The sequence below is a fragment of the Homo sapiens genome, chromosome 6 (assembly GCF_000001405.40).
Source record: "Homo sapiens chromosome 6, GRCh38.p14 Primary Assembly".
Lineage (NCBI taxonomy): Eukaryota > Metazoa > Chordata > Mammalia > Primates > Hominidae > Homo > Homo sapiens.
In genome coordinates, this window is record NC_000006.12 from 105,516,577 (window position 1) to 105,539,404 (window position 22,828).

General features: G+C 38.5%; 1 annotated feature.

Annotated features, from left to right (window-relative positions):
* Positions 5,299-6,498: an enhancer, noted in NCBI's record as "MED14-independent group 3 enhancer chr6:105969750-105970949 (GRCh37/hg19 assembly coordinates)". NCBI's record gives its function as "activates an origin of replication core promoter dependent on BRD2, BRD4, P300/CBP and CDK7 cofactors, and independent of MED14, by STARR-seq in HCT116 cells {active_cell/tissue: HCT116}" and the evidence as "EXISTENCE:reporter gene assay evidence [ECO:0000049][PMID:35650434]".

Below are 22,828 nucleotides of genomic sequence, written 5' to 3' on the forward strand. Positions count from 1 at the left end.
CCACTCCATTACTTCCTTCTCCTTTATAATAAAACTCCTCCAAAAAGTTGTCAGTATTAAATCTCTCACATCAACCTACTTCCATCATGTCTTCATTCCTATCAATAATGTTCATTTTGTCAAATGCAGTGGTCAGTTTTAACCCTCATCTTAGAGACTTCTTAGCAGCATTTGAAGCAGTTGACCACAAAATCTTCTGTAAAACATATTTTCTTCAATTGGCTTCTTGGATATCTGTTTTCATATCTTCCTCTATACTCATTGGACTCTCATGCTTGGTTTCTAAGTATCTGAATGGCAGAGCAGCCAGGGTTCAATCCTTTGAACTCTGCCTCTGTACCTACATTCATGCGTTCATTAGGTAATCTCATCCTGTTTCATTATTTAAAAACCATCCATATATGTGAAAAGGTGCTCAACATCATTGATCATCAGAGAAATTCAAATCAATACTACAATGAGCTATTCCCTCACCCTGGTTAAAATAGCATATATCCAAAAGACAGGTGATAAACAAATGCTGGCAATGATGTGGAGAAAAGGGAACCCTCGTACATTGTTGATGGGAATGTAAATTAGTACAGCCACTATTGAGAATAGTCTGGAGGTTCCTCAAAAAACTAGAAATTTAGCTACCATATGATCCAGCAATCCCACTGCTGGGTATATAGACACAAAAAAGGAAATCAGTATATCAAAGAGATATCTGCTGGCCTATGTTTGTTGCAGCACTGTTTACTACAGCTAAGATTTGAAAGCAACCTAAGTGTCCATCAACAGATGAATGGATAAAGATGGTACACATACACAATGGAGTACTATTCAGTCATAAGAAAGATTGAGATCCAGTCATTTGCAACAACATGGGGTAGAACTGGAGATCATTACGTTAAGTGAAATAAGCCAGGCACAGAAAGACAAACATCACATGTTCTCACTTATTTGTGGGATCTAAAAGTCAAAACAATTGAACTCATGGACATGGAGAGTAGAATGGTTACCAGAGGCTGGGAAGGGTATTTTGGGGGCTGTGAGGGAGGCGGGGAAATGGGTACCAAAAAAAAAAAATAGAAAGAATGAATAAGATTTACTGTTTAATAGCACAATAGGGTAACTATAGTCAATAATAACAATAATACATTTAAAAATAACTTAAAGAGTGTAATTGGATTGTTTGTAACTCAAAGGATAAATGCTTGAGGGGATGGATACCCCATTCTCCATGATGTGCTTATTTCACATTGCATGCCTGTATCAAAACTTCTCATGTACTCCATAAATATATACACTTATGTACCCACAAAAAATTTTAAAGTGTTAAAAAAAATTAAAATGTTTATTAGCAGGTAAAAAAATAACTAAAAAATACAAAATAAAAACCGTCCATATGCTACTGACCCAGATGTTATCTACAGCTCCTCAGAGCTCTAGAATCATGGGTAACCAATGTCCTATTCAACATTTTCACTAATAGACATATCAAATTCAATCTGTACAAAACCAGACTTGATTTCCTCACTTACCAAGTTCAGTGCTCCCCCATTCTTCCCCATCTCGTTTATCCCTGTCTCATTCTGCCCAAAATGTTAGATATTCATTATCCTGGGCTCCTTTACATCATTCCACATCCAAATCTAGCACCAAACTTTGTGAGCATTACTTTCAAATCATGTACCCTTTTAGCATCTCTGCAACTACCACCCTGTCCCAAACCCCATGTCTCTTGTCTGTTACTGAGTCAGCAAGATGCCTCCCAACTGGCTTTTCCCATTAGACTCATTTGCTCTTGTCTTATTGTTTGCTCCTCATACATTATCCAGGATGGTCTTATTAAAATATGAATCAGATCATGTCATTCCCCTGTATAAAATGTCCCAATGACAATTCCATTATACTTGGAATAAAAGCCATACTCCACACGGTGGATCCCAAGACCATACATGGTCTGGCCCCTCCCAGTCTCTCCAACTCATTTCCTCCCCCTCTGCTCCAGCCATCTTTGCCTTCCTGACATTTCCACTAGGGCAAGTGCATCTCGAGTTCAAGGTCTTTGTACTTGTAGTTGTCTCTGTCTGGGAGGTTTTTCTTCTCTGATATCTGTATGTCTTATTCCCTCACTTTACTCAGAAACTTTTCTTAACTATTTCCTCCTCAGAGAGGCCTTATCTGATCATATTATTTAAAATAATATTGCATCTATACCATATCCAATCATTTTCCATATCCTACTTTGATTTATGTGTTTTTGGGGTGATATTTATTGGTACTTGAAATTATATACATATATATTTTTTAATTTTTATTTTTATTTGAAGTCCTGGGGTACATGTGTAGAATGTGCAGTTTAGTTACATAGGTAAACATGTGCATGGTGGTTTGCTGCACCTATCAACCCATCACCTAGATATTAAGCTCAGCATGCATTAGCTATTTCTCCTAATGCTCTTCCTCTCCCCACCCGACCCCCCGACAGGCCCCATTATATGTTGTTCCCCTCCCTGTGTCCATGTGTTCTCATTGTTCAGCTCCCACTTATAAGTGAGAACATGTGGTGTTTTGTTTTCTGTTCCTGCGTCAGTTTACTGAGGATAATGGCTTCCAGCTCCATCCATGTCCCTGTACAGGACATGATCTCATTCCTTTTCATGGCTGCATAGTATTCCATGGTGTATATGTACCACATTTTCTTTATCCAGTCTATCATTAATGGGCATTTGGGTTGATTCCATGTCTTTGCTATTGTGAATAGTGCTGCAATGAACATATTCATGCATGTATCTTCGTAATAGAATAATTTATATTCCTTTGGTTATATACCCAGTAATGGGATTGCTGGGTCAAGACAATAATATATTATATTTATTTACTTACTGGCTTATTACCTGTCTTTTTTATTAGAACATAAATATCAAAGGGCAGGGGCTTTGTCTTGCTCACTATTTTAACTCTAGAAGCTTAAACATGGTTGTCATTAAATAAATATTTAATTAGTTGAGTAAAATTTCTGTTTACAAAAAATTTAAGAACATGGAGAAAATGTATAAAATAACACTAATAATCAAATCGCTAATAATCACTGGATATATGCCAGGGAGTCTGCAAAGTACTTTACAAATATGATCTCTTTAATCCTTGTATCAACCTGAGAGGTAAGGTATTATTATTTCAATTCAACAAATGAAGAAAGGAGAGTTTAAAAAAAGTTTAAGAAATTTACTGCAGCCAAACAGGGGAGTGGGGCATGTTCCCTTCTGGGTCACACTATGCGCCTCCATGGATCCCTCAAACCCAGGAGGTCATCTCAAACCCTTTATTCAGAGACAACCACCTTCTAGGCCGAGGCTTTCTACCTAGCAGAGTAGCACCCTCACTGTGGACACAATTAAACAAACAAATGGATGAACAAACATCTAACTTGCCTATGGCCGTACAGTAGTAGGTCAAATAACTGAAATTCTAACCTGAAATTGACTGGTGTCAAAGCCCGAGGATTCAATATCTCAACCATGTAAATGTTTATTCTTATTTATGGTAGAAAAGGGACTGGTTATGTTTCCCGTAGTATGCTGGAGTAGTACCCTAGGTGGCTCTCCTGACTAAAACAAAATATTGGACAGAATAAAAATGCTGCATTGAGCTGGCACAAAAGTAAGGAATTCACTAAGCACATAAAAGAAGGGAAACTAGCAACCCTGGGAGGTAACCAGATGCTGGAGGCTCTTAAACTGGGGAATTCTGATTAAACCTGGAAACCTTGGTTGTTGCTTGAGGTTCAGGGAATGAAAGATAAACCTCAGACCTCTGCCAAGGTGAGGAATCCTTGTATAAAGTTAGGAGAATCTCAAGTGGTTGCATCCTCTATGAAAAGCTGCTGAATGAGAAATAAAATCCACTGTTCAGGAAAGCTACAAAATAACTTGCTTCATAACTTTTGGTTTTGAAAAGAAGGGAAAAAGATCTTCACTGAAAATGCATAATCATATTAAAGTCCCATGAAAGATGACCTGTTAGAATTCATGCCTTCAAGCTGAGAATTGAATTAAATAATTTTTATTTGGTAGCACTTCCAGGTAACTAGCAGAAGTAGACATGAATCCACTATAGAGGAATGGAAGTTCAATTCAGGTCTCAAATAATTTTTGCAGAAAAGGTTTTAAGAGAAATGAGCCACTTATAGTCACAAATCACACACACAAAGCAACATAAAGGAGAATTTCAAAGAGCGGACAATAGTCACAGACTCCGAAAGACTCAACCAGCTTGATTTATCAATGCTAAATAGAAGTTATACTTAATGTTAAAAAAAAGATAAGTTGGAAATTGAAAATATGAACAGAGAAAAGGCAGAATTTTTTTTGAGGCAGAACTTCTAGAAATTAAAAAGGTAATACTTGAAAATAAATTTTGGCTGATGACTTCATTAGCAGGTTGAATAGAACTGGATAGAACATACTGAGATGGAATATGGAGCTCTAGTCCAGACAGGCAGGGGTGAACTGCTGAGCCAACAGGTTTATTAGAGGGGGTAAGGGACAAGTGAGGGACAATAGCCCAGGGCATTCTAGCAGGCTGTATGGAAGCTGAGAATCTCAGATCTCAAGTTACTCCAGCAGCAGGCTAAGGATGGGGCCATCAGGATGAACAGCTTCCAGATGATAACAGGCAGCTCTGCAAAACAGCAGATACTACGAGCATTCACCAAAAGCAGCATTCACCAAAGGCCCAGCATGAGAATAGGATGTCCTTTTTCCCTAATGTTACAAGGACACATAAACAACACATCTCCCTCCATATATTTGGACTCCCTGCTAAGGGGCAAGGGGCCCTGAGAGCTCAAGCATTTTTATCAAAATGAGGTACTATTACCCGACTTTTAAAAATTTTGCAAATAATATCAATATTAAATCAGAATGCAAATTTAGTTAATTTTTAAACACACAGTGGCTAGGGTTATGAGTAAAACGATATTAATTTCAGACAAAATTACAGAGCTACATTTTTCTGCCACATCTCCATATATGACATCTCTACATTTGTATGATTTATTTTTTTTTTGAGACAGAGTTTCACTCTTGTTGCCCAGGCTGGAGTGCAATGGCGTAATCTTGGCTCACTGCAACCTCCGCCTCCTGGGTTCAAGTGATTCTCCTGTCTCAGCCTCCCGAGTAGCTAGGATTACAGGCACTTGCCACCACGCCTGGCTAATTTTTGGCATTTTTAGTAGAAACAGGGTTTCACCATGTTGGCCAGGCTGGTCTCAAACTCCTGACCTCAGGTGATCTGCCTGCCTCGGCCCCCCAAAGTGCTGGGATTACAGGGGTGAGCCACCACGCCAGGCCTTGTATGATCTTTTATTTAAATTGGCTAAAATTCCATCTAGTTACTTTTTTTCTTCGCCCAGGCTGGAGTGCAGTGGTGTGACCTTGGCTCACTGCAACCTCCACCTCCTGGGTTCAAGCAATTCTCCTGCCTCAGCCTGCCGAGCAGCTGGGATTACAGGCGCCCGCCACCACGCCCAGTTAATTTTTTGTATTTTTAGTAGATACGGGGTCTCACCATGTTGGCCAGGCTGGTCTCGAACTCCTGACCTCAAGTGATCTGCCTGCCTCAGTCTCCCAAAGTGCTGGGATTACAGGTGTGAGTCATTGTGCCCGGCTCCATCTAGTTACATTCAAATCTAGTTAGTTCTCTTCCTCGTACATTTATAATATTGAATGGAAGATAAAACTAAAGATATAGTGGAAAATTGTTTTATTCCAAGTTTCACTGTTTCAGTGTTCCTGAGACCTCCAAGTAGGGCTTGAGAATGTAAGTTTTATGCAGCACTCCTTTATGCACCACTCAGATCATGAAGTGTGTAATAAATTGTTTGATTCTTTGTGCGTGGTCCAGAGACCTGCCTTCAGTAAACCTTTTAAGTAATTTCACAAGTTTGGTAAGGGGAGGCTAGAGGAGACAGAGATCCAGAAATAAAGTTTCTTTTTTCTGCTTCTGTGCAAAATTCCTGGCCCCTAGATGTCAGAAAGGAGAGGGCATTTTGAGTAGGTTTGGAGTAAGAGTTGAGACACTAAGACAGACCCTGCAATACCCTGGTCATCATTGCATCCTCTGTTTCAGGGCAGTCATTTGGAATGAATAAAAAGACAACTGACTGAGTAGCAGAAAGAGGGGTCTTCGCATCCCAAACCAGTGCCCGTGATAGGTAGGTGATGAAAGGCCCACAAATGTGTAAACACAGATGCTGACATGGAGATGCTGAGTCATGACTCAATGACTGTGATGTTATTATCTATTTTGCTGACTCATTGGGGCTAGTTGTTCTATAGTTTTACCTGTCCCATTGGCCGGGGGTTTATCAATATATGACTTGCTCTGAAAGAATTCCTAAAATTATTCTGTAGCAGAGGGATATGATGGGAGGAAAAAAAGTTTTCTTTCTGGCAGAGACTCAATGGCTGTACTCTAAGTAAGGAGGAAAGATCAGTATGGATGTATCATTTTAGCTCATATATTTCATATCTCACTCATTCTTGAATCAAAAGTATAACTTACAGAGAAACTCTGGATGAGTATGTCAGAATCTCACAGAGTGAAACTGAGGAGGTGTGGTAGATGTTGCTAATTCCAGTCTTCTACTGTAGGAGAAACTGTTCCTGTCTCCATGGCCTCCACCTCACATAGGACTTTCTCCTACCAGCCCTGCCTGGGAGGAGTGGTAGGAGTCCAGTCCCTTAGGAGGGCATGTGTTCTTCTCCAGATCAAGGGCTTTCTTTGTTACAAGGGAACCTGATGCTTGACTCATGTGGTTTATATCCAGTTTAACTCTCGGGATCACCTACGACAAGTTTTCCCCCAATCCAAACAGAACCCTTGTCATCACCTGTATTCTCTTCACTACGTTCAACTGTTATCTCTGGTGACTCTTACTACAATCTGTCCAAATTTGGCTAACATTCTAGTAGAAGTCTGTTTTCTGACTTGTAATTTTCTTGCTTTGAAATTTGTCTGTACTCCGTTAAATTCTATCTTAACTGCCACCACTAGAAAAAAAAAAAAAACTATTTCAAAAATAGTACAAAAGCTTTGGGAAAGTGTCAGAAATGTTTATAATTAAATTTGGCCTGATACGATGCTAACTTAATATTAGATTCACCACAAGCTATAAGGAATGAATGAACAAAATAAATAAAATTTTAAACTGATATAACTGAAAGCAAGAAAGATGGGCTCTTTCTTAAAAGAAGAGGTATGACAATCATTTCTTACCTCCTTTCAGTTAATGACAGTCTATCCAATTTCTTAAATAGCTCTAAAAATGTATTTCCACCTCTACATTTCTACCATCACTTTTAGTTAAGATTTCATTATCTCTTGCCTGCATTCTTATGAGATAAAAAAAAGTAGAGAGTAAAGGGAAAGAGACCAGTTATTGGAGGCTTACTATGTGTTGGGCAGTTTGGTATACGGAGATAAAGGAATGAATAAGACACAGCCCTTGTCCTTAAGGAGCTCATAGTCTTAAGGGGAGATACATGCAAACAAGTAATTGTTTTACAGTGTGATTAAGATGACAATAGTGACAGTATGAGATAAAGCATTAGCACTGAGGAAGAAATAACTAAGTCCTGTCTAGGGGTGTTAGAGAATCCCTTCCAGAAGTCATGCCTGAACTGGCAGTTAAGGGAGTAGGGCAAGGCAACCCAGGAAGAAGGCACAGACAGATACTTGGCCTGCTGCAGATGATCCAGGCTGTGCCTGTCTTCTCCATCCTTTATCTCACATACGTGAGCTTGGGCAACCTCAAAATGCTTATGGCTTTCCCAGAGATTCCATGTGGTTTCATGCCTTTGTACTTTTGTGTGTTTTGCTCTCTTCATTTTCTACCTTTTCCTGTAAGTAGTGATAGTTAGGGAAAGTTTTGAACAAAGGAGGAACATGATCAAGCTTCTATTTTAGAAATAGAGAAAGCTTGATTTTAGAAATCAAGCTTCTATTTTTGTGGTTTTGTTGGGGATGAATTGAAAGAGAAAAAGACGATAGTTAGAGAAACGAATCACAATCCTGCTACAAGAGTTAATGAGATGCTAGACTAAGGAAGTTGCGGTGGAAAGGAAAGAACTGCGTGGATATGAGAGATGATAAAAGGTGGATTCAAAGAGACTTGATGATTTATTGCGTGGGATGAGTAGGGCAAAGGAAGAACAGCATGGAGTGAGAAGAATCTATGATGAACCTTAGTCTCTGTCCTAAGACGTTGGGTGCTTGGTGTTGCCACCAACCAAAGTCAGAAATAGCAGATGAAGAACATATACTGGGGGAATGTTAATTTCATTTTTTGACATAAATGGTCATGTAGGTGACTTGGTTAGAGGTGACAGGAAGTAGCTGGATTTGTGGCTAGAGTTCAGGAAAGAGCTCTGGGGTAGGGATTTATATTGGGAGGCTTCATCAAATAAGGCGTAGTTTAAATAAAGGGAATGCATTTAAAAAGTAGAGAAAATATGGGTGAAACTCCTGGTTTGTGACTGAGGTGACTGATTGACATAGTTGACTTCTACGGGGAGGGACTCACTGCTATTGTAGAATGTTTTTTAGGAGTAGCCCAGCTGGACAGAATGCTACAGATACCAAAATAAAATAGGTGCCAGTTTTTTCAAACTGAGGTGACTGAGAATGATCCATCTGGCATAGGAAACGTCCACCTTCCCGGACTGAGGCCCTTAAGCACTTTCATCCTGCAATTAAGATTATCTGGATGCAAGAAAATATGATAGGTGTGTCTGACTGAGATGATTTGCAAATAATTTAATGATTGAGGTACTTTCCTCTCTAAGTAATTACAGGAAGACTTACAACCTTATGAAAGACACCAGGTTATGAAATTATTTTGAAATAAAGTAGGTATGAGTGTAATAACAATAAAAACAAAACAATAGTAGTCTTATAGTCTGGTAAAAGAGGTCCAGAAGAATGCCCATATTTCTCTAGTGCTATTCTAGATAGGGCTATATCCACTTGCCAACACAATGTATTGATGGAGTTAGCAGGAAGAGAAGATCTCAGAATAGTAAAGAGAGACACACCCAGCAACTGTAGTGAAATAAAAATCTCTTAAAATCACTCAGCTACATTTATTCTAATGAGCGCATAGTAAAGACTTAACAAATGCTCGTTAAAGGAATTAATGACTTATTGTTTATTAAGCAATCTTCTAACCTTAATTTGCTTTTCCAAGTAAATTTCCCTTTTGGAAAGAGAAGATGTTGACTATCAGATAGGTAACTGTTGTCAAGGAGATGTCTCCTATGTATCTGGCACATAGTAAGTGTTCAATAAATATTTGAGGGAGGAAAGAAAGTATGGGAAAAAGATGAGGAAGAAAAGGAATGAAAGGTTAGTTAAATTAGTTTTCCCATACATACTCATTCTCAAGACCTTGAGCTGTCTAAACTTACGCTCTAGAATTGTACTTTTTAACTTAGGTTGTGTCTGAATTACTTGAAATGCTTAAAAATAGAGACTTCGCTGGGTGCGGTAGCTCACATCTGTAATTCCAATACTTTGGAAGGATTGCTTGAGTCCAGGAGTTTGAGATCAGCCTGAGCAAGACAGTGAGACCCCATCTCTACAAAAAATAAAAAAAGTTAGCCAAGCATCCAGGTATGGTGGTGCAGGCCTGTAGAGGTTTGAGGCTGCAGTGAACTGTGACTGCATCACTGCACTCCAGCCTGGGCAACAGAGTGAGACTACATCTAAAAAAAAAAAATAGAAATTCAACAAGGCTCCACCCCACATGCATTGATTCAGAATTTCAGGAGGTGACATCAGGCCGAGTATACACTTTTAAACCTCTGCTGATGATTGATGCTGTTGCATAACCTGGGTTGAAAATTGTTATTTTCAGATGCAATAGCTCCTGGTTACATTCATTAAGTAAAGCTCCAAGCCTATAGAATTGAGAGATCCGATCTCAAACCCAGAGTATCCTCACTCACATGTAGGACACTATGGGGCTCCTCTAACCAATCTGCCAGGTCTTGTTTTTGTCTGCATTTTGCTCATATTATATAACCCCAAGCTACCCAGTGGATGGGGATAGAAACCCAGACTGATTCTGACTAATTTTTGTGTTTGAGGGATGACTGATTGTACCAAGCTTAACTATCTCTCCTCAGCAATGCTAGTCTGGAACTATCCCTCCCCAGCAATGCTGGTGTTGTTTTTACTTAAACTTCCAGCTCCTCTACAACTATTAGGACAAATGAAGTGGCTGAACACACTTCATTCAAAACATTAAACACCTAATAATCTTTGTAAAGTTGTATCTTCATCATGAAATCTTTGCCCATCTTTGCCACATTGTCTTCCACAATGGTTGAACTAATTTACACTCCCACCAACAGTGTGTAAGTGTTCCATAATACATCAGAAATGTATTATGACATTCCTGATGATCAACCCCAATGTTTAGATTTCATTTTCATTCTTATAGGAAAAAGAAATACCAGCAAATCAGCACTTCACCCGTCCTCAGTTATCTAAAAGTAATTCTTTAATAAACTTTCTTGACCCAAATCCAAAGCTGGGGAGGCAGGAAGATAGTCAGGGCCCCCAGGGCTAGACAAGGCTGTGGCCGGGGAGGTAGACCTTCTGTTGTCACACTCTTCTTTTTGGGTGACTTGCTCCAATTAAAACATGGCTCTCCGAATAGCCAAGGCAATCCTAAGCAAAAAAAAAACAAAGCTGGAGACATCACAGTACCCAACTTTGGACTATACTACAGGGCTACAGTAATCAAAACAGCATGGTACTGGTACAGAAACAGACAAATAGACCAATGGAACAGAATAGAGAACCCAGAAATAAGGCCACATGCCTACAACCATCAAATCTTTGACAAACCTGACAAAAGCAAGCAATGGGGAAAGGATTCCCTGTTCAATAAATGGTGCTGGAATAACTGGCTAGCCACATGCAGGTGACTGAAACTGGACCCCTTCCTTACACCGTATACAAAAATTAACTCAATATGGATTAAAGACTTAAATGTAAAACTGAAAACTATAAAAACCCTGGAAGACAACCTAGGCAATACCATTCTGCACATAGGAATGAGCAAAGATTTCATGATGAAGATGCCAAATGCAATTGCAACAAAAGCAAAAATTGACCAGTGGGATCTAATCAAATGAAAGCGCTTCTGAATAGCAAAGGAAACTATCAAGTGAAGAGAAAACCTACAGAATAGGAGAAAATTTTTGCAAACTATGCATCTGATAAAGGTCTAATATCCAGCATCTATAAGGAACTTAAACAAATTTATTAAAAAAAACCCATTAAAAAGTAGGCAAAAGACATGGCAGACACTTCTCAAAAGAAAATGTATACGCAGCCAACAATCATATGAAAAAAACCTCAACATTACTGATCATTAGAGAAATGCAAATCAAAACCACAATGAGATGCCATCTCACACCAGTCAGAATAGCTATTATGAAAAAGTCAAAAGATGACAGATGCTGGTGAGGTTGCAGAGAAAAAGGAACGCTTACACACTGTTGGTGGGAGTGTAAATTAGTTCAACCATTGTGGAAGACAGTGTGGCAATTCCTCAAAGACCTAAAAACGGAACTACCATTTGACTAAGCAATTCCATTACTGGATACATACCCCAAGTAATATAAATCATGCTATTACAAAGACACATGCACATATGTGTTCACTGCAGCACTGTTCACAATAGCAAAGACATGGAATCAACCTAAATGCCTATCAATGACAAACTGGATAAAGAAAATGTGGTACATATATACCACGGAATACTATGCAGCCACAAAAAGGAATGAGATCATGTCCTTTGAAGGAACACGGATGGAGCTGGAGGATATAATCCTTAGCAAACTAACACAAGAACAGAAAATCAAATACTGCATGTTCTCACTTATAAGTGGGAGCTAAAGGATGAGAACACATGGATACATACAAGGGAACAACACATGCTGGGGCCTATTGGAGGGTGGAGGCTTGTGGGAGGGAGAAGGGAGGAAAAATAACTAATGGATACCAGGCTTAATACCTGGGTGATGAAATAATCTGTAAAACAAACCCCCATGACACAAGTTTGCCTATGTAACAAACCTGCACATGTACCCCTGAACTTAAAATAAAAGTTAACAAAACAAAACACGGCTTCTACTACCTTGGAAACTTTAATAGAGGGGCAGAAGCAGGAAAAACTATACTGATCCACGTCAATGACAACCTGAAATAGCCAATGTTTCTTGTACCTTTGAGTAGCAAGTATTCTCTAAGTGACTGAAACTAGTTTGAAGCACATACTTTTTTCTCTACTGAAACATTTTACTTTCTAGTGGATTAAATAGTTTACCTAGGGGTTACAAAAAGGCTTTACTGTCACAAATATCAGAAATTTTTTCATTTTCATAGATCTGCTTTATTTGTGTGCTAACAGCCCTGTCTAGATACAACAAGGCAATCAGAATTGTTTTTATCAAAGAAAATCAGCCAACTGGAAATCCTTCCTAATTCCAAAGATGAATGTTGCACTCATTTATGGCTATTGTTGACTTTTCTAAAATCAGGTTATCTTTCTGATGGAAAAAAAAAATGGATTTAGTTTGAGCAGCTACACATATATGTCCCTGGAATTGAAGCTGGAAGGGGAAAGACTCTTTAGATAATCATGAAACATGAAGTTGTGTCTGACAGGAATAACAGCTCACGAAAAACTACCCATGAGAACGGACTTCCAGACAAGGGTGGTTCATAGTCCAGGGGGAAACACCCCTGACAATAGACACACAGCTTCAGAACCACACACCCCCTACTGATGCCAGGGAGATCTGTGGGCAAATCTTGCCTTATTCCATGAAAGACTAGTCTACATCTAAAAATGTATTTATATTTCATTTATATAAATAGGAACCCATATCATTAAGTAACCTAGAAAGAAAAAAAAGGCAATTTTCAGGAAATACTTGTAAAACACTGAATGAAAACTTCTGAAGTATAATTTACACATTCCTCCTTTATGATGACTTGGTGCTTAGAAGAGATTAAGATTTCTGGGCATAATTGATAATGATTCATAAAACAAATTCAGAAGAAGAAAGATAGCCATCTCCACAGATTCATATGTTTGAGTTTATTATATTATATACACATACATATGCATTCTCCTTCCCCAATATGAGGACAGCTCCTATGTTTAAAACTTTCTTTCCAAATTTGAGGTGGTGATGGATCCACTACAGTTCCAGTAAAGATTCAGATACCATATTAAAATATTTAACTGAAACTAGTTTAAAGAAGGAATTATTTATAGTGGCATGATCAAGATTAGGGAAATCAATAAGGAATGGTGAAATGTCAAGGGACTAGGAACAGGAGGAAGTTATTCCTGGCACTCGTCCTGAATGAACAGGGGGGCAGCATTATCAGAAAGGGAGGGCCTTGGTGCCCTGAAAGAAGCCCCTCCACAATAGAAGCTGGTAGTAGAGAAACTTAATGAGGCAGGGAAGAAGCAGTGATGGAGTGGGAGGGTTTATCACCTGACCAATTTCAGATACCTTCCATTGGCCCAGTTCATCTGGAAGCCAGAGGGCAAGGAAGGAGATGGTGCAACCCAAAGGCTGGCCTCTTAAGGCCCAGAGCAAAGCAGAGAATAGATTTGGGGAGGGTAAACAAAGAATAACCACCTTAATGGGAGAGAAGACACACACAGAAGAGTCAACTAATGACACAAAATAGAAAATGGCCCTGCAAACCCATCGTGACAATCTGTATGGACAATAGGTGAAAGCACAGTCTAGTAGGTAAGAGCATGGACTTTGAAGGTCAGCAGGTACTCCTTCAAATCCAGGCTCTGCTGCCTCAGTCCTCTATGTGCAACCTGGGTACATAACTGATTCTCTCTGCTTCATATAGATGAAAATAATAGTGCTTACCCTATAGAGTAATTATAAGATTTAAGTAAATCCTTTGGCTTGGTTCCTGGCACATGGCAAACACTCAATCAATGTTAATTACTATCATCATCATCAACATCATTTTGTCATCATGATAACTATCAATAGGTGGATTTAGTAGAGGAATAACTTACCAATAACTTCTAAGGTCAGAGAAGGATGGGTAAAATTCGGAAAAGCAGGAAGTGATAGGAAAGAATTCGGAAGGGATTTAGTTGGGGAGGGGCGGAATGAACAAAGGTTAGGATGCAAGAATTCACAGAGTATGTTGATGGGGTTATGTCAGGGGCAGTAGATGCAGATTGGGAGCGATAAAATATAGGAGGAGGGGATGATCCAGGGATACAGGCTCTCGGCTGTCAAGTCATATAAGTTTGGCCTTTGTCTTGTGCATTGTGGGAAACAACCAAACATTTTTAAAGCAAATTACAAAGTAATAATAGTGTTTTTAGAAAGATTTACAATGTGGCAGAATTTAAAATGAATTTAGGCATGAATCTGACTACTAGTCAAATCATAGCAGTGAATTATCAAATTCCTTGAAAAAACATGGGGAAAATGAATACAAGTAAAGCTATTAATTAATATCTATGAGTTAGTATAAGGATACTTCCCTACTCATCCTCCTAATAGTTACTGGGATCTTTGTATTTTCTGAGTCTTGGATGTTGCATCTATTGAAATTTCAGTCTGCTTCTGCATTCACTGACTCCAATCTAGCGACATTTGACCATTAGTTTCTTATAACTTAAAAATTTTAAACAGAATAGTTATTCTGGAGTCCAAGGAAGAAACAAGGGCTTTAAATGATAAAAGCATAAACTTTTTTTGATGACTTACAATGTTCTAGGTGCTGTGTTTTATAGATCTTCATGTATCTAATCTTCACAATAATCCTGTGAGGAAATTCTATTACCATTCCCATTTTATAGATGAGAAAATTAAGGCCCAAGGCTTTAAAGCAACATATGCAACACATACAACCAATAATAATTTATAGAATTTGTATGCAGGTGTTTCTGTTCCATGTTTCCCAAGAAAGACACCCATAGAATGCACAGCTTCAGTTATTAAAGTTGATATCAATAATAGTGTTTGTTTTGGGCTACATTATATTTCATCTCTGTATCTTTGTTATAGTTTCAAAAGTCCTTTACTATTTGCAAGGTTTACATCCATGATTATATCTGATCCTCACAATGATGAAACAAGTTTAAGGTGGTTAACTAATTTGTCCAATATCCTCCAATTAGTAGGTAGCAGAGTTAAGACTTGAGTGCAAGTCTTCAAATTCCAAATTCTGTATTCTTTCCACTAGATTAAAGAAGAATTAAGAACACAAAACTTAAAGAGGCATCTATTCATTTATGTAATAAATTATAATACTCATTTACAAAGCACAGGTTATGTCTCTGACAATATCCTGGTTCTGATACAGAGGAGCAAATAATTTCTACCCTTAAAGTAGTCATTACTTAGAGAAGAGACAGAAAAAAAAAAAAAGGCAGTCCCCAGGTTGGAGTTGGGGGAGATAGCAGTTTTGGTGGCTTGTGGCTGGGTTGGGAAGAAATATTTACTAGAGAAGAAACACATGGTTGAATTTTGAAAAATATACGCATGGATGTGGTTAAAGAAAAGGAGCATGTGCAAAGATCTGGAAGCTTGGGAGAACACAGCGTTGGGGAGGTGCATGAAGCCCAATTTGGCTGGAGCTCAGAGGGGAGAGATAAGGCTGAAGGGTGAATCCGGGACCTTAAGGTCCAGGGTGGGGAACTAGGACTTCAGGCTGAAGTAGGGAAGTGACACGCTCACATTCGCATCTCAACAAACTCACTCTGGAAGCAATCTAGAGGATGAACTGGAGGGGACTGAAACTAGAGCTTCAGCTATCACAAAGGTAGCTTCTTCATGATAGTCATGAGAGAAAGCATTGCATGGAGATGTACACGCAGTGATGGAAGGATAGATTGATTGAAGAGTGAGTAGGAGGTAGAATCATCAGGATCTTATGATTCTTTAGACACCAGAGTAAGGGAAAGAGAAGGATGTCAAGAATGATTTCCCAGATTCCTGACTTAGACAACTGTAGAATTTAGTGGAAGTAAAAACTATGGTGATGGGAGAGAGATTAGTCCTGTGGGAATGTTGAAATCCATTCTGCACAAGCTGGTTTGAGCTGACTGTTGAAAATCCAAGTGGAGGTATCTCATAGGAGTTTGACACATGTGTTTACAGACAGAAAGGTTAGTGTGGGCTGGTGATAGAGATTTAGAATTCAGCAATACATAATTGGTGCTTGACAATAACAACAGTTTTAGTTGACAACTATGTGTTGGGCACTCATTTTTCTGGGTATTCCAAATGTTTTATCATCTCATTTAATCATCACAAGAACATTTTATGAAGAACATAATTTTTCCCATTTTATGGGAGAGGAGACTGAGGTTCAAAGAGCTTATTAAATTAGTATGGCAGTCATGTCGGTGGATGAATTAGGGAGATTATGTAGAAATGAATAGAAGATACCATACAGCTCAGAATTCCCAGAAATATCTGTATTGTATTGAATTGTATCTGTATTGAATACTCATTATGTGCCAGACACAATTCTAAGTACTAACAATATTCTGTAGAATTGAACACTTCAAAAAAGCCCGTGCTTTTGAAAAATCTATAAATACTTCTTTAATGATGATGTTAGAAAAATGCAACTGTTGGATTTCAAAGTGTAAGTTTGTGTTTACCTATGGTGAATTAGTGGTAGGATCTTGAAGAGCAAGACAATGTTAAAGAATAATGCCAAATCATCCATGAGGAAAAGAAATATAAAGACTTTAGATTTCAGTCAGATGTGAAAGCTCTCTGGGGCAAGTTAGCAGAGGATGGTGACACAGGGCCCAGCATTTGCACTTTGGTTTTACTCATTATCTGTGTGATCCACTTAATAAATACACAGCAGGGTGTCAGTGTAAAGAATGAGATAATGCTTATTAAAAACATGAGTTGGCATAAGGCAAACACAATCGAATGTAGATGTCGTCAGAATCTAACTCTGAATCATATGTCATCTTCTATGGTTTTACATATAAATTTCCTAATTCTCCAAAACGGTAGGTTTCATTTAATGGAGGCTGATCATGTGCCGGACTCAGTACCAAGAATGTTATAAACATTATTTTATTTATCTGCCTAATGATGGTTCTTGGCCTCATATCAATCCTGTAAGGTGGTTCTTGTTTATCACAAGGACCTTGAGTCTCATGAAGGTTAAATGACTTGCCCAAAGTCAAATAACTAAGTGCACGGACTCTAAAGAAGTGACCATCTGATTCCATCACATGGCCTCTTGGAGGTGGAACTCCTCCGGGGGCAGGGGGAGGGGCCAGTCAAGGAAAGCCTGTCACAACTTCACTTAAAAACACTTATTTGTTTTGCCCATAGCTTATGGTTTTCAGCAAAAAGCACTTGGAATATGTACCTTATTCTCATCATCCTTTTACTCATACATTTTAACCATCTTCCTCACCATCATCATCATCAACGTGAATGCACATAGGGAAAAGCAGAGTCAAAAACACGAGATGCTTTTTTTCTTACATATTTATAGCCTTAGAGGCTAAAAATGACTCAGATTAACTATTTTTCTTTGTGTAACTAACAGGCCCAACATTGTGGAACTATATATGAAGAAAGTGTGTCATGACATATATACTAAGGGAAGAAAGGAATTTAGAGGAAATTATAGTTCTTAGTTTGCTTGTCACCTCTTCTAATTAACGAATATAAAAGAATTCATAGAAGATGTGGAATTTCAGGAAATGTATAATTTCACACATCACTGTATATCATTGTGCCTGGCTGCCACAGGATTTGTATGCAAATAATATACTAGCTTTTCTTTTTTCTTTTTTTCTTTTTGAGATGGAGTCTCACTCTGTTGCCCAGGCTGGAGTGCAGTGGTGCGATCTCGGCTCACTGCAACCTCTGCCTCCCGGGTTCAAGTGATTTTTCTGCCTCAGCCTGCCGAGTAGCTGGGACTGCAGGCGCGCACCACCACTCCTGGGTAATTTTAGTATTTTTAGTAGAGACGGGGTTTCACCATGTTGGCCAGGCTGGTCTTGAACTCCTGACCTCGTGATCTGCCTGCCTCGGCCTCCCCAAAGTGCTAGGATTACAGGCGGGAGCCACCATGCCTGGCCAACTAGCTTTTTTTTAAAAAAAAACATGATGGCCATCCATGGTTTTCTCTGGGTATTATGTCAACTACTTTGATTTCCATAATGTTCACCCAAATATGTTACCTGAATTATGATATTGCAGAAATATATTAGATGAAATAAAATATTCCCAGTCAAATACAAAGCATTTAAATTTTATATTTGCTAAGTCTTTTTTTTTTTTTTTTTTTGAGACAGAGTTTCGCTCCTTGTTGCCCAGGCTGCAGTGCAGTGGCGTGATCTTGGCTCACTGCAACCTCCGCCTCCTGGGCTCAAGTGCTTCTTCTGCCTCAGCCTCCTGAGTAATTGGGATTACAGGTAAGCGCTACCATGTTTGGATAGTTTTTGTATTTTTAGTAGAGATGGGGGTTTCACCATGTTGGCCAGGCTGGTCTCGAACTCCTAACCTCAAGTGATCCACCCACCTTGGCCTCCCAAAGTGCTGGGATTACAGGGGTGAGCCACCATTCCTGGCCAGTATTTGCTAAGTCTTGATTGAACCCTGTGGCAGTTTCCTTTGTCCCTTACTTAGTAGTGACAATACAGTTTAGATAGAAAATATTAGCATGGGAAATATTATCCGTTAAGATGTTCATGATGGTTAGTTTCTCCTGAAGCCAATGTATTTCCTTGGAATTGCTGAAGGAACTTTGCCAATATTTATGATCTGGAGAGCAATGTGTGCTATGCACTTCACTTTTGTACTACAAATAAAATTAATTTTAACTGTTCATATGGAGTTTCAATTAGTTTTGTTCACTTTTTACCACAACCAGCTTGACGTTAAAAAAATAAACAACTTCGCTACTTGGTTTGGAATTAATTTGACAGCTTACTGAATGTTCCTGTATTAAGTTAGGAGGAGAAAACAGAACTCAAAATGCAACTCAACTAAAATGTCAATTAAATACGTCCTTGGACTTTTAGCCATTCTGTGGTTATAAAATTGTTTTTAATAAATACATATGAATAAAATATCGTTATGGTGATAGATCTTCATCATATGGCCACATGAAATTACTTTGAGAATTAAATGATATAAAATATTAGGCATAGCCATAATAGCAACTAATACAGTTATTACTCTTATTATAAATTATTTTTGTCACCATTATTATATTTTCATATCTGAAGGCCAACTTCCAGCAAATGCCTTTTACAGTAGAGAAAATAAGTCTAGGTACAGTGGCTCACACCTGTAATCCCAGTGCTTTGGGAGGCTAAGGTGGGAGGATTGCTTGAGGCCAGGAGTTCAAGACCAGCCTGGGCAACAGAGCGAGACCCCATCTCTATAAAAAATAAAAGAAATTAGTCATGCATGGTGATGTGCATCTTGTAGTCCTACCTACTTGGGAGGCTGGGGCAGGAGGATTACTTGAGGCCAGGAGTTCCAGGTCACAGTGAGCTATGATCCTGCCACCACAGGCCCAGCCTGGGTGACAGGCACCCTGTCTCTTAAAACAAAAAAAGAGAAAATACAAAATTCATTTAATAGGATAATGCTTCTTAGTTCATTGTCATCATTTACTGGGTTTAACTGAAATGTGAAATTGATTACCATCATCAATAATGTGCTTAAATTTCACAAGTGTGAGTGAATTTTATCCTTTGGCAGCCCCTGACAGGAACTCACTTGGTCACTGTGTTCATACTTAATTGCTGTAATCATGGCACAGGATCTTTCTGAAAGCTAAGAAATTATTATCCCCCATAATATATCTACTAGGACTGTAGTTATTAACAATGCTTCGGATTTTCTTATAATCTTCCTTATTGATCATTGGGTTCAAAATATCTTGAATAACAAGTTTATTAATCATTTATACTGGGGTTGATAATGCAGAATTATTTAAGCATATAACTCTTTTTACATTTTTAAATTTCTGAATCTCTAAGACTTTTCTAAATATTATTTTAATTGATTGTGCTACATAGTTTCTCAGCAAGTTGGTGACAGAATCACAATTATGAACTGACTTATTTACTTACAGATCTTAGTTTCTTGGTCACAGTTTTCAATTTAGACACACTGGCTGAAATATGGAGTGAGAAGGATTTGAAGAGGATTTTTAAGGATAAAAATCCAACAAAGAAAGGTCCTATCCAAATTGCATCAGATAATAGTTCAATTAGTATCCATAGCAATATATTCTCTCCAGAACAACATAGGTGATTACCAAGATACTGTTTTGGACTACAGTAAAGTAGGGGATAACATCTTTCCAACTCTCAAAAATATTCACCCCCAAAGGGTTTTTCTGAAGAACTGCAATGACTGAACTGAACTGACACTGCATAAAGGCGAGGGAGTGGTGCTGTAGATGGATCACAGACCAGTTCTTCCAGGGAAAGCCTAGAGTTAAAGTGAAAAGAAGTAATCCAAGTCCCAACTTGCACACTCTGTCATCGGAGTTTCCAAGTAAGAAATACTTGGCTTCCAGACAACTGAATGAGACTTAGACTTTAAGCGGATTATCTGAATTGTTTCTCTAAAAGCCTTTACACCCCCACCCTTTTCAATAATCTACTTTAGAAAATAGTGGCAACATACTTTTGGAATTAAAAAAAAACTCTCACCACTTTACTACATTATGTTATATTTTCTCTTAATTGTGAAAGACAGTATCTCCACATTTGGCAATGTTAAATGTGGCAGAAGGAACATTGTATTATAGCTCATTGATGAGTTGATATTAATCTGAACTATTTGGACACACTGCAGGGAGTTATGAGAAAAGAGAATATTACACCATTATGCAAAGTTGAAAATTTTGAATTAATAAATTGTCACATTTGAGCACTCTATTTCTGTAACTCCTTTGTTAAAATGTCAGTGCATTGCAGAAAAAAATTTCCTTAAAAAACAAGTGATTCAAGGACATGTTCTCAATAAAAAAATGGGTGGGCAAATTAAATACCATGCAAACACATAAGAGAGAAGAATATAATGGAAGTTCAAAATCCATCAATCCAGCTAGGCTCGGTGGCTCACATCTGTAATCCCAGCACTTTGGGAGGCCAAGGCCAGCAGATCACCTGAGATCAGGAGTTTGAGACCAGCCTGACCAACATGGTGAAATGTTGTCTCTATTAAAAATACAAAAATTAGCCAGGCAAGGGGGTTGTGTGCACCTGTAGTCCCAGCTACTCGGGAGGCTGAGGTGGGAGAGTCCCTTGAACCCGGGAGACGGAGGTTGCAGTGAGCCGAGATCATGCCACTGCACTCCAGCCTGGGTGATAGAGTGAGACTCCATCTCAAAAAAAAAAAAAAAGTATAAAAATAATAATCTGCCAATTCCCAAAAGCTGTCAGAATTCAGAAATGAGACTGCTGCTTGATGATGCTGTATGCATGCTGCTCTGATGCATCTGACCATAGGAATTTGACTCCAGGAAATATCCTACTACATTAGCTATTTAACTATCTCTGTACCCCACTCTATCCTTATTAAATCCATCATTTTCTCATTTTTAACTAGAAAAGGCTGTGAAGAGTGTTGGGCTCATTGGAATATTGAGGTTTTGCCCCCAAACCTGCAACTGAGAAAATTACTTACACTTGATGGAGACATATTTCAAGTAATGCAGAGCCTTTTCCATTCATCCCATGTGTCATACCTGTATCAAATTAATATCTACCTGGGCTTGAGTCATTCTTACCTGTCTACCTGCCTTATCAAAATATACCCATCCTTCAAGATTTGGCTTAGATACAAATCCCTTGGGTAATTCTCTCTTAATACCCCAATTTAGTTAACTTTCTACTTAACATAACATTCTTAATCGGTCTGTACTATGGTTATGATTTATTTGGCTACTTCCCCTCTGTAAGTTTCCACAGGACAGGGGTCTCCACTATCAATCACTTTCTCTCCAGTCCCCAAAGCAAGCCTGGCACATGGAAGATCCTCAAAATATATGGTTGTACAATTGTGGAAGACAGTGTGGTGATTCCTTAAGGATCTGGAACCAGAAATACCATTTGACCCGGCAATCCCATTACTGGGTATATACCTAAAGGATTATAAATCATTCTACTATAAAGACACATGCACACATATGTTTATTGCAGCACTATTTACAATAGCAGAGACTTGAAACCAACCCAAATGCCCATCAGTGATAGACTGGATAAAGAAAATGTGACACATATATACCATGGAATACTAGGCAGCCATAAAAAAGAATGAGTTCATGTCCTTTGCAGAGACATGGATGAAGCTAGAAACCATCATTCTCAGCAAACTAACACAGAAACAGAAAACCAACCATGGCATGTTCTCACTCATAAGTGGAAGTTGAACAATGAGAACACATGGACACAGGGAGGGGAACATCCCACATGGGGGCCTGTCTGGGGGTGGGGAGCAAGGGGAGGGAGAGCATTAGAACAAATACCTAATGCATGTGGGGCTTAAAGCCTAGATGACAGGTTGATAGGTGCAGCAAACTGCAATGGCGCAAGTATACCTATGTAACAAACCTGCACATTCAGCACATGTATCCCAGAACTTAGAGTAAAATTGAAAAAAAAAATATATGGCTGTATACATTCTGAAAACCATAAAAATGGGCATTATCACTTGTACTAAGGCTATTTTTTAAGATTAAAATTTCAAAAATT